The sequence below is a fragment of the Homo sapiens genome, chromosome 11, assembly GCF_000001405.40.
Source record: "Homo sapiens chromosome 11, GRCh38.p14 Primary Assembly".
NCBI classification, from domain to species: domain Eukaryota; kingdom Metazoa; phylum Chordata; class Mammalia; order Primates; family Hominidae; genus Homo; species Homo sapiens.
The window spans coordinates 41,101,750-41,120,714 of NC_000011.10; the positions used below are offsets into that span (position 1 = coordinate 41,101,750).

The 18,965-nt window shown below is 34.1% G+C and overlaps 1 protein-coding gene across 17 annotated transcripts in view, besides 1 other annotated feature; it reads right to left on the reverse strand.

Annotated features, from left to right (window-relative positions):
• LRRC4C (leucine rich repeat containing 4C) overlaps nucleotides 1-18,965 on the reverse strand; it is a 1,345,454-nt gene that overhangs the window by 987,551 nt on the left and 338,938 nt on the right. The window lies entirely within an intron of this gene.
• Nucleotides 15,191-15,732: an enhancer, noted in NCBI's record as "OCT4-NANOG hESC enhancer chr11:41138490-41139031 (GRCh37/hg19 assembly coordinates)". NCBI's record gives its function as "activates a minimal SCP1, AML or CMV promoter by ChIP-STARR-seq in naive H9 embryonic stem cells {active_cell/tissue: H9 hESC(naive)}" and the evidence as "EXISTENCE:reporter gene assay evidence [ECO:0000049][PMID:30033119]".

Genomic DNA, 18,965 nt, shown 5'->3' on the forward strand with positions numbered 1-18,965 from the left:
ATGTCCATTAGTGGTAGACTGGAAAAGAAAATGTGGTACATATACATCACAGCCATAAAAAAAGAGAGCATTACCTTTGCAGGAACGTGGATGAAACTGGAGGCCATCATACTCAGCAAACTAACACAGAAACAGAAAAACAAATAGTTCATTTTCTCACTTGTAAGTGGGAGCCAAATGATAAGAACACAATGACACAAAGAGGAAAGCAACAGGCACTGGGGCCTACTTGAGGGTAAAGAGTAGGAGAAGAAAGAAGAACAGAAAAAAATAACTATTGAATACTAGGCTCAGTTACTTGGTGATGAAATAATCTGTACAACAAACCCCCGTGACATGAGTTTTCCTATATAACAAACCCGTACATGTACCCCTGAACCTAAAATAAAAGTTAAAAAAAAGTAATTTTAATATTACTCTGCACACTTGCTTATGGAATGAAGAAGAAACTTAACGTTATCGTCATTAAAGCTGAGTCTAAAAATGCTTGAATAAAAAATGTTTATTCCACTTATTGCATTTTACCTTTCATGGGTAATACCAATTGATTCATCAGTATAACCTGCATTTCTAGTCAATTACACTCTCTAGTACTCTTGTCTGGTGGCTTAATTTACACAGATAAATAATTTTTTGAAAGAAAAAGATTAAGTAGTTTCCACTGAGGTGTGTTTTCCAAAATTATTAAGAAGTAACAAATTATTGATGTCATCCATGAATTCGTATTGAAGTATATTCTCTCCAATAAAAACCACAGGACCTTCTGGCTAAAATATTACTTTCATACTTATAGAAAAATCATCACGTAAACCATGAGAAAGTAGAGCTATCTACTTTGGATTTTTGAGAAGTGGTTGCTTTGGTTGCTGTAATAGTAAATGATCTCTGAAATAAGCTACTATATTTGGGTTATTCAACTCATTTCTCTCTTCCTCTCACATTTTTAGATTGCATACATTTCTGACCAAAGGGCAGAGGAAGTGCGCTCACTGGATTTAAACAACGCTGTGCTCATTTCCAAAATCCCAAATATGGCATGTGAGATAATAGTTCTGCCACATAAGTTAAGGCATAGGAACAAAGAATGCTAATGTACATAAATCTCTATGCTTGATGTGTAAAGCTTGAATAATAATACTTTTTTAAGTATGTGAAAATGAAGGTGCTGATGACTTGCCAAATATAACTGGAAATCTGCAGAATTATATTCAATAACTGAATGTCAATTCAAAAGGAAACCATCTCTATCAAAGGTAAAATAAAAAAGAAAAGAAGATATACTATTCTAACATAATAATGTTTATTTTTTAAAAAAAGCATTATTATAAATATGTATACTCTACCATCTGATCTGAATTACAAATTCTGTGACAACATGGCCTGTTCCTTATATTTATTTTCTTTTTGTTTATTATATGGCCTGTCACACAGCAATTGATAAGTAAAATATTATTTTTCCTAATATTGGTAATGATATCTTAATTCAGAAGATAGCTTAAAAAAATTAGCACTAACCTCATCTTTGAAAATGTGGAAATTGTTGTTCAGAGTAGTTCCATACTTTGTCAAGGTCAAATACTAATGCATCACAGATAGGGACTGAAATTAGCATTTCCCCTCAATCAATCCAGTGCTCTTTCTAATGCAGCCTACCAAATCTCATCAGCATATATGGATTGATATTATAATACACTGAGTAGTCATAATGTCATTCTTCATAATGTGTCTGTTGAAGAATATTACATCTTCAACAAACATATTCTGAGGCTGTGCAACATACCAACTGGTATAGACATAGAAATGAGTACGACAGACTTTCCTCACTAAAGAGGTTTATAGTCTGGGAAAGATGATAAGTGCATAAACAGTGGCTTTCCATTGCCCAAGGGATAGGCAATGCTCCTTAAAACAGCAAAAAATGCCAGCATAATATTTAAAAGGAAGAGCAAAGTTGTAGGACTTACACTTCTCAGTTTTAAAATGTATTACAAAGCTATAGGAATCAAGAGAGTATGGTGTTTGCATAAGAATAGACATAGATCCATGGCAAAAAATTAAGAACTCAGAAATGAATCTTAACATTTATGGTCAACTGATTTTTGAGAAAGGTGCTAAGGCAATTTAATAGTGAAAGGATAGCAACTACCACAAACTGTGCTGGTACAATTCAATATGCATATTCCGATGATGAAGGTAGACCCCTACTTCAAACTATATATAAACATTAAATCAGAATGGATGATAGAACTAAGCATATTACAAGAAAATATAGGATCAAATCTTTGTTCCTTTGAGTTAGGCAAATATTTCTTAGATACAACACATGAGCACATAAAATATGAGAAAAACTGGATAAATTGGGTATTATCACGATTAATAACTTTTGCTTCTCAAAAGATATAGTTAAGAAAATGAAAGGTTGGCAACAGGAGAAAATATATACAAACTTATATCCAATAAGATACTTTTATCCAAAAACGTAAATAACCATTACAACTCAATAAGAAGTCAACTAAAGTCAAATAAAGAAGCCAATTAAAAATGAGCAACAGATTTGAATATGTATTTCACCAAAGAATAAATACAAATGGTCAGTAAGAACATAACCATATTCTCAATATCACTACAGTATCAAGGAATGCTAATTAAAATTATAATAAGGTTCAAAATTTATACCTACTAAGAAGGCTATAATGGAAAAGAGAGATAATAACTAGTGTTTTCGAGAATGTGGATAAATTGAAACCCTTTTATACTGCAGGTGGGAAAATGAGATCGTACAATCACATTGGCAAACAGTTCATCAGTTTCTTAAAATGCTAAATGTGGAGTGAACATATGACCCAGCAGTTCTGCTCCTAGGTGTTTACTTGAAAGAAATGAAAACATGTCCACACAAAGACTTGTATATAAATGTTCGTGGCAACAGTATTTATAATAGCTAAAAAGTGAAAACAATAAAAATATAGATAAACTGTTGAACATATGAAAATATTATGTATCCATACAACAGAATAATATTTGTCAGGAATAAAGTACTGATTTCTGTTATGAAATCAATATATCTCAAAAACATGCTATGTGTAAAAAGGTCATAAATTATATAATTTCATTTACACAAAATGTCCAGAAATGGAGAATCTGTAAAGACAGAAAATAGACTATTGGTTGCCTAGAGCTGGAGATGGGGATTGGCAGTGACTGCAAATGGGTAAAAGGTTCCTATTTGTTGTTAAGAAATGTTAAAAAAAAATTTGGCGATGGACATATCACTGTAAATTTACTAAAAATCATTGAACCACACATTTAAAATAAATGGGTTTATTGTATGTAAATTATATTGCAATAAAATTATTAAGAAATAGAATTAAGCACCCTACATTATCTGATCTTCATTGCCCCAACTTATTCTTAATTTTCCCCCATATATTGGTTTTGGTTTTCTACACACCGTGGTCCCTTTTGACTTCAGTCTTGATGATCAGCTTGCTTGGAAAATATTTCCCATAAATCTTTCCTTGAAAAACTTCTATGCATTATTCTGAATGCAGTCTAAGCATCATCCCATCCAAAAAAATTCTACTGCACATCAAAGTCATGCCCTGCTTCGAAGTTCCAATTGCATCTTATATATACATCACTACGCACATAATCTATTATATTAATATATCTGTTTATCTTCTGGTCTGCTCTTTAGTCTATAAGCTCTCCAAGAGCAAAGTAGTTCATCTCATTAATTTTTGTGTCTCTCCTCAGTGATTAGCACAGGTAGTTTTTCAAGAAATATTTATTGAATTAAAATCTATACAATAAGATGTGCTAAGTCAAAGAAAGGCAATAGGAACTAGATATGGTGAAGGCACAGATAATCAAGAGCTTTATTTGTCATGATGAAGAAAGGAGAAACAAGTGCTATCCAGGTAAATGCAGTGGCATCAGACTGAGAAGCAACTACAACTTCGATGTACAATTGGAGAGATTGTGTTGGAAATTTACAGAGAACCAGCTTCCCAGTGGAAAGAGACTTCTGCAGAAGTAGTTCATCCAACATCAAACAATAATACAGAGGACTGTATAAAGGAAGGGAATGCACATATGATATGCATTTTATTATAACAAAATAATAAAGGACTTTTCTAAACATGATATAACAATAATACCAAGATATTTCTCTCTCTTTTTATCAAGTACTGAATAAAAGAATCATTACAGTCTCTTGCCTTTTTTGTACCTACTCAGGTGTAATGTGTCATTTCATCCTTTTTTTCTTGATCCATTCAATCAAAAAACACATTTAGCCCAAAGTTATCATCTTAACTGCATGGAAACAGGAATGGAGAGGTTAAGTTTCTTATTCAATGTACTGTAATAAGTCAGTGACAGAACTAAGTATCAACTTAGGTCCCTGAGTTCTTAGTACAGGACTTTCTCTCCTTTTTTTATAATACTTTACCTTTATTATATTCTTTCCATGACTTGTATTATCTGTCTGCGCATTTGTGTGTGTGTGTGTGTGTAGAAAAGTGGAGATGAGAAATGGGGTATAGCAGAGGCAGCAATGCAGCAAGTAAAGTTGTGATGGTTAACTATGCTAATAGCTAGATGTATTATTTAGTGTCTATTTGACATGAGGCACTGTGCTAAGCATTTTACATGCATTGTCTACTTTGATCATCAAACCCTTCTAAGAATTTATCTATGAAAAAAAAAAAACTCAGAAGCTTATGAATGTGGAAAAATTACTCACTGTCACCTAACAAGTAACAGGTAATATCCAGGACTATGTAATTCATAAGTCTATGTTGTCACATACCGTATCACACCAAAACCCATTCATTACGTAGGGCATACTGCTTATGCTTTCAGTAGTTATTTGGCTCATGAGCTTCCTTTTTCATCATCTTTCTCATATTTCTGAAGTGTAAATATTTGATACATCAGAGAATAGTACGGGTTGAGTATCCTTACAGTACAGAGTGAGTACCCTTATCCAAAATGGTTGGCGGGGTACAGCAACTCATTTTGGGAGGTGAAGGTGGGAGGATCACTTGAGCCCAGGAGATTGAGAACAGCCTGAGCAAGATGGCGAGACCCTACTTCTACAAAAAAATTAAAGGAAAAATAGACATGGTGGTGTTCTGTAGTCCCAGCTACTTGGGAGGGTGGGGCAGGAGGATCCCTTGAGTCTAGGAGTTTGAGAATGCAGTGAGCTGTGATTGCACCATGTACTCTAGCTTGGGTGAGAGAGTGAAACCTCATCTTTAAAAAAAAAATTAAATACTTGAGACCAGAAGCGTTTTAGGTTTTGATTTTTTTTTTTTTTTTTGAATTTTGGAATGTGTGCATGATACTTACCAGTTGAGCATCCCCAAATTCAAAAACCCAAAATTCAAAATGCTCCAATGAGCATTTCCTTTGAGTGCCATGTTGGTACTCAAAAAAGTTTTAAATTCTGGAGCATTTGGATTTTAGATGTTCTGATTTGTGATGTTCAGCCTATATTAATAAACACCTTCTAATGCAGTTACTTAATTGGCAGCTTATGATACAAACATTTGAAGAGTTTTGCTATTGATCTTTTTATTAAACAACTGTAAAACAATACTGTATTAGAGATACATGTAGATATCGATCTAAAACATGATAAAACATGTAGCTATAATAATATATCCTGAAATATAATTTTTCATAGCAAGTGAAATATCTCTCATTTATGGCCTTTAAGGAGTATTTATGTTTTATTTCTAAAATAGAAACAAAGAATAAAAATAAAAATGAAGCAGAAACAAGAAAGAGAATAACAAAATATATCAAACCAATTAATTTGAAGATTATTTAAATGAGAAGATTTTATTATGTCACTAAGAAACATAAGTTTACATTTATGAGATGAAAAATAAAAAAGTGACTGGGTGTGGTGGCTCACAACTGTAATCCCAGCACTTTGATAGGCCGAAGCAGGCAGATCACCTGAGGTCAGGAGTTTGAGACCAGCCTGGCCAACATGGCGAAGCCCCACATCTATTGAAAATACAAAAATTAGCCATGTGTGTTGATGGCACCTGTATTCCCAGCTACTCAGAAGGCTGAGGCAGGAGAATCACTTGAAAATGGGAGGCGGAGTTTGCTGTGAGCCGAGATTGCACCATTGCACTCCAGCCTGGGTGATAGAGCGAGAGTCCATCTCAAAGAAAAGAAAAGAGAAGAGAAGGGAGAGGGGAGAGGGGAGAGGGGAGAGGGGAGAGGGGAGAGTAGAGAGGAGAGAGGAGAGTGCTCTCTAAACCAACTAAGAATGCAAACATAATTTCAGGGCAAATGCTCAACATAACATGTTAATAAAACACTTCCTGATAAGCACTAAAGGGCTGGTTACAAGTGATTCTTATCAAGTAGAACAAATATTGTATCATTATATTATGTTCTAATTCCCCTAGTCTTTTTCCCCTTCCCCTACCCTTAGCCTTTAAGCTATGTAATAACCATCAGAGCATACATGCAGGCAGATGTCCACACGCCCATTTTCACTTGTCATGTAGTATCTGCAGTACTTGCTTAATCTTTTCTTTATATAATCCATTCTCTCATTTAGAGCCTTACCACGATTTGTGCTTAAGATAAGGTTAGTAATACATTTTAATTTACAAACTAAGCTTCCCTACTTGATTATAATTCAAATTCTGTCTTTAAGATATATTAACTCACATAAAGGGAGAGAGGCACTTATTTTTGTTCATTCTTCCCCAAAGAGTCTATATTTTGTGGAACTTCAACCAAACCTATAACTACTCTTTAAGAAAGGCCCAGATCGCAAATTCATTAGGATATCTACTTGTCAAATATATTATTTCCATTAATTTGTATATTGTATGAAGCTGAAGGTAATAAAAAATGTCATCTTGATGAAACCAATAGTATTTTGCTAATTCTGAAAGCTTCACATTTTGTTTAAATTATCGACCCTTGACAAATAGTCCCCATTCTAAAAGATTCTAATTATTTCCACTGGAAACATATATTTTAGAAGTGAAGTAAACCTTTCTTGTATGCTATGATGACTGAAATTATTATCTTGACTGACTTTGATAAAAATTAACAACCTACCAAGAATTAGAAAATGTATTTGTTTGATGTCTAATATTAATTGCATGAAGAGTTGCTAGGCAAAATAGCACATCCACGTTCATTCCCACAGTTGCAAATTCAGAGCACATTGGTGAGCATTATAAACAGGAGCTGGGTCTCAAAGTCCTTTTTTGATATTATTTTTTGATGTGACATTTTCCATTCTATATAGATAATTGTATTAGTTTCTGATAATATAAATTACTTAATGTTTTTAACTGATCTAACTGATATATTTCCTTGTGTTTTCTCTCCTATCTTCATCCCTTTATCCCTTTCCAATCCCAGAAAAAAATAAAGTTCTTCCAGTCATTTAGTTACCCTGTACTTTTCTACTATATAATTGGAGAAAATTGATTATGTTAGGAAAGGTGAGATTGAGATTCAGAGTGGAAAATAATTACTGACGGATTTCAATTGCTAAAAGACAGCTCTCATGCCTTCACTGTTTGTCTTTTAAAGCAACCCTATAAAATCACAAATCAAGCAGTTGATATAATTATGAATTTGAAGAAATTGTCATGATGGAGATGGTTTAGATATACTGTTATAGAAAGACAATAAAGGCTTTATTTAGAATCAGAAACAAAGCCAGATATAAAACTAGAAGAAAACTTACATTGCTTTGGCCCCAGAGCCCTCAAGGGCTTTGAGCTAAGATTCAATGAAATGACAACCTTTTAATTTTGGAAAGTCTCCTTCTTTACCGTCTCTAAATATCTTTTATGTTTTCTCTTTTGCTGATAATTAAAAACAATATCTAAAAAGTGCGTAACGGAACTAGAAGATAATTTATTAATCATCTAGTTTTACATTTACATTTTACAGATTCTAAAAATGAGTCCAAGGAATTTTGTGAAAGGAATCAGACAGCTCATCAAACCCATCCTACAACACCATTTCTTCCCATTGAAATTCTTCTTCTAGACCTAACTCAAAGTAACCCTTTGATTAATCTCTTTAAGAGCATCAAGGGAAGGAAGGGAATACTTTCCTCAACTTTAAGGTGTTTGGGTTTTTTTGTCTTGTAGTATTGCTTTTTCTTCGAGATCATTTCTTGAGACAATGGTCTTTATAATTTTTCCTCTACAACAGCGTGTACCAAAGACAAAATGCAACACCAACCTCTTTATGGGGAAATTCCTGGTTAATACCTCACAGTTTATCTTCCTGAGGTTTTTCCTCAACCCACTATTTTATTGCTCCATGGGAAGTCAGAAATATCTACAACTACTCTGCTTATCTATATTTAAGTGGATAGATTTGGAATTAGACTTTCTGGCTTCAATCCTGGCTCTAGTACACAACTGGGTGACTTACGGCTTATTCTTTAATCTCTATGATCCTCAGAATTCCCATCGATGATATAAAGACATAATATTATTTACTACATGTGGCTATTGAGATGATTTAATGACTTAATACAGAATGCAAAGTGCAAGCTTAATAATAGCTAATATTTACTTAAAACCAGCCATTTTCACTTTACATTAATCACATTTTTAATTCTCACTATAGATTTATATATTCTTATTGTTCCCATCTTAAAAATGAGTAAACTAAGACAAAGAGAATGTAAATAACTTATTCAACATCACTGAGATAATAAATATTAGAAATGACTTCTAAACTGTACTCCTAGATGTCAAGCTAAATGTTAAGTAGTGTTTACCATCGCAGGCATACATGAAGCAATTAAATTATTCCACATGTGGTGGTGAGTACCTTGTCTTCCACATGAATAATATTGTGCTGAAAACTTTTTATTGTTACGTTTTGCAAGTTTTATTAACCAATTTCAAAGATATATTTTCATAGGGTTGAAGGTCAATATTTCATCTCTTCTTGACTCTTCAGTCACGTGATATTAATACAAATATTGGGAAGGGTTCAATACTGAATACACAAAGTCACAACTGGGTGTTTTTTTAAGGAGCACTTTTTTCAAATTCAAATTCAGCATTTTTAAAGTATTTATTTGTTCTATTCCAGTGGTTCTAAGCTGTAAGCAAGCATCCGAGTAACCTGGAGATCTTGTTAACACATATATTAATGAAGTTCACCCCCAGAATTTCTGATTCAATATGTCTGAGTTGTAACCCAAGAATTTGCATTTCTAGGAAGTTCTCAGAGATGCAGATGCTGAAGGGCTGGAGACTACTTTGGAGAAGCACTGTGCTGGGCATTATACTCATAGATTGATGTTTTAACTCATGTAAGCCACTAATAGATGAGAAAGGCATTATTATTATCGGCATTCTATAAATGAAGAAATTAAAGGGTTGAGAATTTATGCCTTATCCAAAGTTGCACAATGAGTAAGAGACATTGTCACAATTTGAAAAGGGAAGCTGTTTCCAAAGCCCCTACATACTCTTTACAACTTCTTGATGCTGCCTCTTTGCAGCTGTAAGTAATGAAGCTCATCATTACCTGTCTCATAAAGTTGTTGTGAGAGCCCAGTGACATACAAAAGGCAGACACAGGCAGCAGTGTTCCTAGCCCAGGGACAGAATCAATCTTATTTTCTGTGAACATAGCTTTGAATTCATAACCACCGCTCTGTACTTCCACTTCCTGTAGATAAAGTATATTAAACTATTAAATCTCCTCCAGATTTTAATTTATTCTATGAAAATACAATTTGTTTTTCAGTATTTGGCAAAGACGAGGAAAAAAGGTGGTGATACAAATGCATGCCTTCATCTCAGTAGTTAAAATGGAGGCAAAGACATGAAAGTCCAGGGTCTCTATTTTTCTCCTTAGCACTTTGAAACATGAAATTACAGACAGGTTGCTCTGCTGTGGTTGGAACGTAGGAATTTGCAGTGGCCACAGAGCACCTGTGACACTGACAAAAACCTTAATTTAGAAGCACAAGTAAAAGTAACCTTTCCCTGTCTAGATTTTACATATCTGGTGGTGGTACCAACTAGCTCATCAATATCCTCATGGAGATTGTCCATCATGATTAACCTTATAGAAAAAAGTTCTGACTATCATAGATAATAGAAATATACCCAGATTCAGTATTTTCTATCAGAGATTAGAGAAAATATATTTTTTTTCATAGAAAGGTCTAGCAGAAGAGGTTAGGCAACAAGCAAGTTAAGAGATGACGAGTGAGAGAGGATGTAAAAAGTATTAGAAATACTTTGCTTATTATCTCTGTCTATATCCAATGACCCTTCAAAATGTAGCAGAAGTTCATCAGACAAGGTTAATTTGCTACATTAACAGTTTGGGAAGTAAATGAATCCAGGATGCCAACAGCCAGAAGCTGTCATGGTCCTGCCAACTCTTCAGCAAGCTAATGTATCAAGATGTCACCCCTACATCCAATGAGGTAAGTTCCTCACATCCTGACACTGATTGCTCAATGACAAAAACAAGTAAAACCTTTCTGGCCAGTTTCTAATCTCAGCATCTCCTGGAGAGCAGACACTTCGGCAGAAATTGGCATCTCCTTGACAGCCCAAGATAGGAAAGCTCAGAATTCAATGAACTAGGAGACTGTGTTCTTCCCCTGTCTTAGATGCTGTCTATTAGGTGGGCAAGGCAGCATGGGGTTGTTTGCAGGAAGGTTACAGATCTTTAATCTCTTTCTCTGTCAATCTTACTATATTCCAAATTGAATCAGGGGAGTTGAAGTAGTGGCTTTGAATCAAGGCAATGGGCATAGAATAAGCCCTCTTCTTGTTCCTTTAAAATTTTATAAACAAATGCACTTCTGTTTTTCTTGGAACTGATAGGTACCCCACTGTCATTTTATAATTTCAATCATGTACTCTCCTTTCTGACTTTTGCACACCTTCACATGTACATGTTGGAAAAGCATTTTATTCAAGGATTATACCTAAGAATTAATGCATAGGTACAGATTTATTTTTCAAATCTGAGTAAAAAGAGAGTCAGAGCACATTCATTATACTCAAGATCATGATTTTCCTCATTGAATGCTCTGATTTTCACTAATGTGGTAGAAAAACAAATGATGAAAACAACAAAAAACATATATGAGTAGGTGTGTGTGTGTGCACGTGTACATTTATTAATTTGTGTGTATGACTGTGCATGCAGGAATTAGCGTATATTGGGTTAAAGGATACAAACACAGAATTAAAAACTAAACAAGTACATTTTCTGAAGTCTTTATTTGTGTATAGGTTGAGACATATTATGATATTTTAAATTTTGCAAACAATATCTAACCATGCTAAACTTTCAGAATAAATGAATGTACATATTTGCTAAGACATAGAGAGGAAGGAGACATGGAGGTGATGCCACTTTATAAGTCAGTATTTTTTTTTCTAGGCTAGCAAAGGATTAACTTAAATTGATCCACCGCTCATCAGCCATAAACATGAGCAAAAATGTCAATTGCATGAGGGCACAGACCCACTGCAAAGCCCCCTAATAAATATGAATAAGATGATTTTACTTCTTTATTTTTCTCCTGCTGATGCTGTTGGGGAAGATGACAGCTTAATCATGTCTGCCCAGCACCGGGCTGTGAGTTTACATTAAGCAGCATGTGTTCTGTCATTACCACACAGTTTGGAGGGATAATGGCTTTGTCTAAACTATACCACAGGCAGAGACCAAATTTCTGAAAGTCACTCAGCAATTCACAAAAAATAAAATTTTCTGCATGTTTTAAAATGTGTTGGAGGTTTAAAGATGAAATGATTAGTTGCTAGAGGGTGAAGAAGATATAATAAAATCTTGTCCAGCAGACTGGGATACCTTGGCTGTACGCTTCTTCTCTACCAAGCAATCTGAGCCTCTTCCCCAAGCCTTTGGCCCACTGAAATCAGCACCAAGTTTTCTTGAGACTACTCTCCCTTTAATCATCTGTCCCATGCTGGATTCTGACCATTGCACTAAGATTTATACCTTATTGTTTCATGAGTTTTTTTTTTAACATTTCTGCATACATCCTTTCATGATTATCTGTTGGAAACACATAAAGTGGCAGAAAACAATCTCTTTAACAGAATAGAAGGTACATGCAATATCTCCAAAATACATAAATATTAGAAGCACCATGAGAACACAATATTTAAACATTAGATGAATCTAAATATAATCAGTGTTTAAAAGAGCCCATTTTCTATTAAGGCAATCAAACTGTTATTAAAGTTTATCAGTATAAAAATAGCTTCACAAACTGCTAATGTATATATGTCTTTTCTGAACTCTCGAAAATATAACAATTATTTATCAATATAGGACCTTATATTTGAGGATCAAAAAATTGTAATGAACGAAATGAAAACTTTCAGTTTTCAGTATTACATTGTGACAGCACTGGAATACTATAAAATCAACTATTTCCAAGAAAATTTTCAATGGCTTTAAATCTTTTTTTAAAAATCTGTTATTTATTATTTATTTACTACAACAACAACAAAAACAAGTAAATTCTAGAATTCCAGACAGCTGATGCTATGAAGCAAACAAGAATTCCCTGGAAAGAGAACAAAACCTTCCCTCTTATGTATATGCCAGCCTATTAGTATATAGCTACCTTACTTGATATATAACTAATCTAAGATTTGTTTCAAAGGATGTCCTGAAGACTTCAGTTGGTTCAAGTGTATACCTGCTCAATCTCAAAAGACATTATCATTTGGGTTAAAAATTTTTAGAAACAAATAGCAATTTAAGTAAAATTTAATAGCACTTTCCCCCAAAAAATCAGTAAACATTTCATCCTCATAATCTCCCTTTTTTACACATCTCTAAATTTTAAAAATAAGTACAATCAAACAATATTAATTCACTGAAGCTGATTCAATAAGAATGTTTTTGCATAGTTTATGACAAGGATATAATACAGTACTATAGCACATGACTAAGGAGTATTGAACAAGCTCATACATTTAAAACTTAGTTCAGCTACGTAACTGAAAATCAAAGAAAGTAGTAAATGATTCAAGGTAATCTATAATTCCACTGAATCAGAAATGATATAAAAAGTTGTAATAGCTTAGTAAATAAGTTTTTCAAAAGTTCAAAAGTAATTTTAGAGAAGTATTTGTGGATGAAATTATGCCTGGAATTTGCTTTAAGAATAACACAGTGGAGGAGGAGTAGATGAGGGCCGGGATAAAACAGGACTGGCCATTTTTTCATAACTGTTGAAGGCAGGTTACATGTTTATAGGAGTTTATTATAGTATTTTCTCTCTGATATATGCTTGAAAATTTTTATAATAAAAAGTTATAAACATTAAAAATGTTTTAAATCTTATTTCTCTAAAGCTAAGTAACTTTTTCAGAAAGACTTAAAGAACAAACTGTAACTACATTACTAAAACTTTCAGAGCTAAAGGAAAAGCAGGACCTTCTTTTGATATGTTAATTAACAAATTCTTGAGGTTTAGTCATAAAATTTGAATTTTAAGAAAAGAACAAATGACTTGCTAAGTAGCTATTACTACAGTCAACTCTTAATTAATTTCACTGACTAGATCACTGTTCCCTATATCCCCCCATCTTTTTTTTTCTTTTTTTTTTAGCCCATAGACATTCTAGTGATTTTGCTCCTTATTTAGCAGTAAAATGGAGTCAACCAAAACAAAAATACTGTCAAAAATTATTTTTGCTATTCATTCTTTTCTGCTAAAACACACATTGAAGAAGGAAGGCAATATAAATAAGCCTTAAAAACCTGAGGTTTTAATTGTGTTCATTTGCGATGGGAAAAAATAATAGTGTACCCAGTTTAAACACTTGTGAGTTTCAGATTTCAATAAAATTTATATTAATATTCTGCCTCTAATTCATGAAATACCTCAATGTTTTAGGCCCAATAGCTGAGATCCACTTTGACGCTCATTTCTAAGTTCTCTAAAGGTAATCAGGATCTCCCCGGATTGTGCACTAACATTGTCCTTGTCAGTCTCCCGCAACTGGTAACCAGAGCTATGTTCCTGAATCACAATCTCATTATTGCAGCCTTGTTTCATTTTATCCAAGGCATTACTGATGCTATTTGCCTGCCTCCTAGCTAGCAAGGTTTTTGGTTCTTAGAAGTTTGGTCTGACCCCTTTTATGATTATCCTGTTCCAAAGGTGAGTCCAGCTCCTCTGTGACTCTTCTAGCCTTCCCCTTTCCACCATGAGAGCTAGCCCAGCAATGTTCAAATATGTGACAGTATTAATTAACCTGTATTACTTTTCATGTCTTTAAGCTACCATTTATTTAGCATGTACTCTGCTTCTAGTCACTGTGTTAAATATAAATGGATATGTATATGAATATGTATCATCAAGAGTAAAAACCAGCACAGAGCATTTAAGACTACAAGCTTTGGTTTCAAAGAAACATAATCCAAGTCCCAGCTCCACCATATGCATCCTATGTGACTTTGGATAAGCTATGAAGCCTCAGGTTTTTCAGCTATAAAATTGAATCATAAAATACCTAGCTCATAGGTTGCAGGAGAATTTAGTTAATATATATATAGCATTTAACAAAGCCCAATTACATAGTAAACAGCTGAAGTTTATATCTATATTTAATCAAATAACAATGTATTAGTCTATTTTAAATGAATGATCTGTGATGATTGGCTGATCCTAGAACAGAGAAAGAGCAATTGAAGGTAGTATTGTTGCAGGAAGGCTGGTGGAAAGAGCAAAATACAGTAACAGTAATAATAATAACCAATATTATTGAGGATTTACTAAGTTTCCAAAACAATAGTATTTACTACGGTCATTTTGGAGAAAGAGTAAAATGGGAAGGGAGTGGAAGGACTGAGATGTTAGACAAAGTGAGTTGCTAAAACCAATGAAAATGACTCTTAAAACCCTCCATTAATTTGATGCTATCCTGATGATATTTTAATGTATCATTTACTAACTCTACCCCCAGGAATTTATCCTGATAATTTTGATTAAGTTATTGACATTATTCAGCAGAAATTAACAAAAGCTATAAGTACAATAAAGTTCACTGCAATGTTAATTGCAACAGAAATATTTAATATTGTAAAGTGTGCATAAATTTTTATCCCACACACCCTCACCACCTCACCATAGGCCATGCCCTTTGCAATGTGACTGCAGCTCTCACATCAAGAAATGAAACGTACTTCCACACTTCTTGAACCTGGACTGGCATCAGGCTTTGCTTTGGCCAGTAGAATGTCTAACAGTTTGTACTAGGAACACTGGAACACTGGCAGCCCAGTGTTAGCCTGCTGGAGAATGAAAAACTTGCGGCCCAGGGACTCCCGTTACTTTAGCTGAAAACAAGCCAACTCCCCAAAGCAAAGTCATCTACCCTACCTGCAGTTGACTGCTGACAGGTGAAAGAGCCCTGCTGAGAACAGAACTACCCAGCTGAGCTCAGCTCAAATTGCTGACTGCAGCACTGAGAACTAAATAAATTGCTCTGTTTGTAGCCACTTGCCAAATCCACTTTTAGAGTGGTTTACTGATACAAATTTTAAAAAACATAACAAAATATTAAGTATCAACATAACAAAATACTAGACAAGCTTTCAAATATCAGTGATAATGGCTAACTAATTTTATGATATAATATTACGTGAAAATAGCTTAATACAAATGTCATTCTGTAAACTATGATAGCAACTATGCAATTTTATTTATGTATGTATGTAAAAAGTGCATGTGGAAAAGAGCATTGTTTTGTAAGAGTGGTGGAATTAAGCATTGATGTCATCATTATTTTTACACTTCATTTAATGGGATATTGCATTTTCTAAGGAAAATATTTGATAGAATAAAAAGTCTAAGTCATTCTCAGGTTGTAGGATATCGTGTTGTGACATTATTAAATCAGTAAAAAGCATAAACCTGGTCTTTTGCCCCTACCCTCCAATATTATAATTGAAAAAATGAACAAAATGGTGCAATAGGACCATTTCAAAAATGAGAAGAAATTTCATTATTAATTAGTATTTCAAGCAAAATTCGCATTAGCTTATTTTACACTTATGAGCAGAGTGCAAGAATTTAAAACTAAAATGGAGATTTAAATATTCCATGCACCATAAAACCTATTTAAATAGTGAAAGATATTGATAACAGCTAAACTCTTCTGTGGTAAAGGTGAACATTTAAATGTTAAAGGTGACTGACCTAAGATAAGGAAGAAAGTTTAGGTAATAATTCTAAAAATTACTACCCCTTCAATGGTCATTCCTTTATCATGTGTCAATGTATACATTACAAATGCATTGCCCCAGGAAAATGAAACTGACTTATTCTCAAAACCTAAAGAATTGTATAGAAATTCCAAAGGGATGTCCTTGGAAATTCACCCTTGACCAATATATCCAGTAGGCTGCTGAAGCACAATGCTGTTTTTCTAGCTGATTATGCACATTCGCTGCATCCAGAAAGATGTGGAGCTTGGCTTCCCTCTTACATTATGAGGACAATTTATTTTGACAGCTTTCACAGCCCCCAAAAGTTGTCAGACATCCAACATACTGCAGATTGAACTCTAAGCATTAAAAAGCCCCTCAGCCTGAAGTTGAAAGCAGGAAGGTGGGAGCTAGAATCAAAGACAGCAAAGCAGAATTTCTGTCTTGCTCTTTTCTTACACAAGCCAAAAGCTTAGAACAAAATTATCTTTTACTTAGGTTTGGTCACTGTCCATTCCTTTCTCCACTAGTCACATTTAATGTATCTCTATCAACCCTAAATTTCCCATTACGATAGTCAATTCATTCGTTTCTCAATTGGTAAATTCCATTTCCACCAGTCATTGAGTAGCTTCTCTCTCTTCTCTGAAAAGACAAATCAGTCTCCCCACCTCCAATTCTTCTATGTCTTCCACATGCAGAACCTCTTCCTTTTGTTATGGCAAGAGGTTGTCTTTTTAGTAAAGCAACTTTCATTGTGATGCCATTGACCTAGTTTGAGTGTTGTTAGACAATAAATAGCCCTGTGGAACTTATCACTCATTATAAGGATCACCATCAAGGGCATTTTTCATTACATCATAGAGTGTCCTATTTATGAAGCCTTCCAAAATAAATCCTTTTCTTATCTTTTTTTTTCAAAAAATAGTTGTGCTCCTCCTGTGTTTTTTTTCTCTGCTTATTTCTTTTTATTTGTTAAATTTAAAAGACATTGCAAATTTTTGTAAACAATACTATAGGTGATTAACTCAAGAGAAGTGTAAAGGGTACCATGCTTTAACAATTCATTATCATCCATGGCTTTCTTTGCCTTCCCTCTTGATTTTCTGTATTGTTTCACTGTACTTTTTCATTGCCGTTTGCTGACGATGTTCATATATCTCTTCAGCTAACATTTTCCAAACAATCTTTATATGTTCAGGCACTGTTTTAAGTACATAGCATATTTTAAATTATTTTAATTTTCATTTTCCAGTATGTGAGATAGCTACTGCAATCATCTCAGTTTTTCAGAGAGAAAAAAGGGGATGCAAAGAGATTGAGAAACTTCCCTAAGGTCACACAGCTAGTGAGTGGAGAAGTCACTCTGTGGTAGATTAAATTATTTCTGGAAGAAAACACAAAGGAGAGCTTGCTGTACTTGAGCAAGACATTGGAATAATTTAAGTTAATGCAAAGGTAATCCCATTAGGTAAGTCAATTTGCCTAAACCACTTAGGTGGCAGAACATTTTTGCTGTTCTGTTTTATAACCTGTTGGAGAATCCCTCAAACGTCATGCCACTAATGGCTCTTTCCAAAGTTTGAAGAGATTTGGCCACTATCTAGAATTATAAGTTCAAGGTTAAGGGACCTTGCCAATGAAAGTTAGAAGAGTAATGAACTAAAACCTTATGTTTGCTACCAGGCAGTCTCATGACTTTCAGGATTATGAAATATGTGTTTCCTGTGATGGCTTTCATGTTTGCTCTCTCTTGAAAAGTTGACCTGGTTTCACTTAGGCTAGATACATTTATGCTTCACAGATCCAAACTATTGAAATAAATAATGATTTATGTATAGATGAGCTGAGGACATTAGTTTCAATTTTGCAACGCTGAACTTTCAGTTTTTGCTATTAAAAAAATGACTAGTGTAGGATTACACAGAAACTTTTACCTTCAAAAAGAGAGTAGTAGCATTCTTTCTGGGAGTTTTAAAGGAGAAAAAACTGTTGTCAAAACTAGAATCAATGCTAAAATTTTCCATTCTGATTTCGTCTCAGTCCAAATCACCATATCTGCCTAGCTACCTTATAATAGACAACTTCTAGCAGAGATCTGGCCTTAAAATTTTTCACAATTGAAGGAAGAGGCCTACCATATACTAAAACTCAGAAAATGACAAATTCCTCAAGCAAAGGAGTCCAGAGGCTGAGCAGCCAGAAAAAAACTCACAAATTTTTACTATAAATGAAATAAGTAAATTCAAATTTTCTTTTCATTCATCCAACCTGCCAAAAAACCATCTGTCCATCCAACAAATATCTATTGAGTTCCAGGCATAGTATTCAGTATTTGTCATTGTGCAGGGTACTTTTTTGTTTGTTCTTTCACATTCACTCTCTACCATTCTCCATCCCATTCTATGCTTCAGATGGCAGATCATTATATATGGATTTATATGGATTTCATTGCTCCCTATATTCTAGTTGAACTTGGCCAGTGGAGGCACTAATGGAGGATTGGAGGTTGGGGAGAAAGTGAGCTAGGTGCTTATTTCTTGTGCTCCTCACTGTTGGGCTACTGTTTGACAGTGGCTATATTACTTCATGAAGGCAGCTTCTAACAGGCTACCTAGTCTTTTCTGAAGCTACAGCTCTCAATGAGTTCTTGTAGCCACTCATTGCCTTTCCCCTTTCAGATCTAAGGATAATAAAGTCTTCCTTCTCTTGCT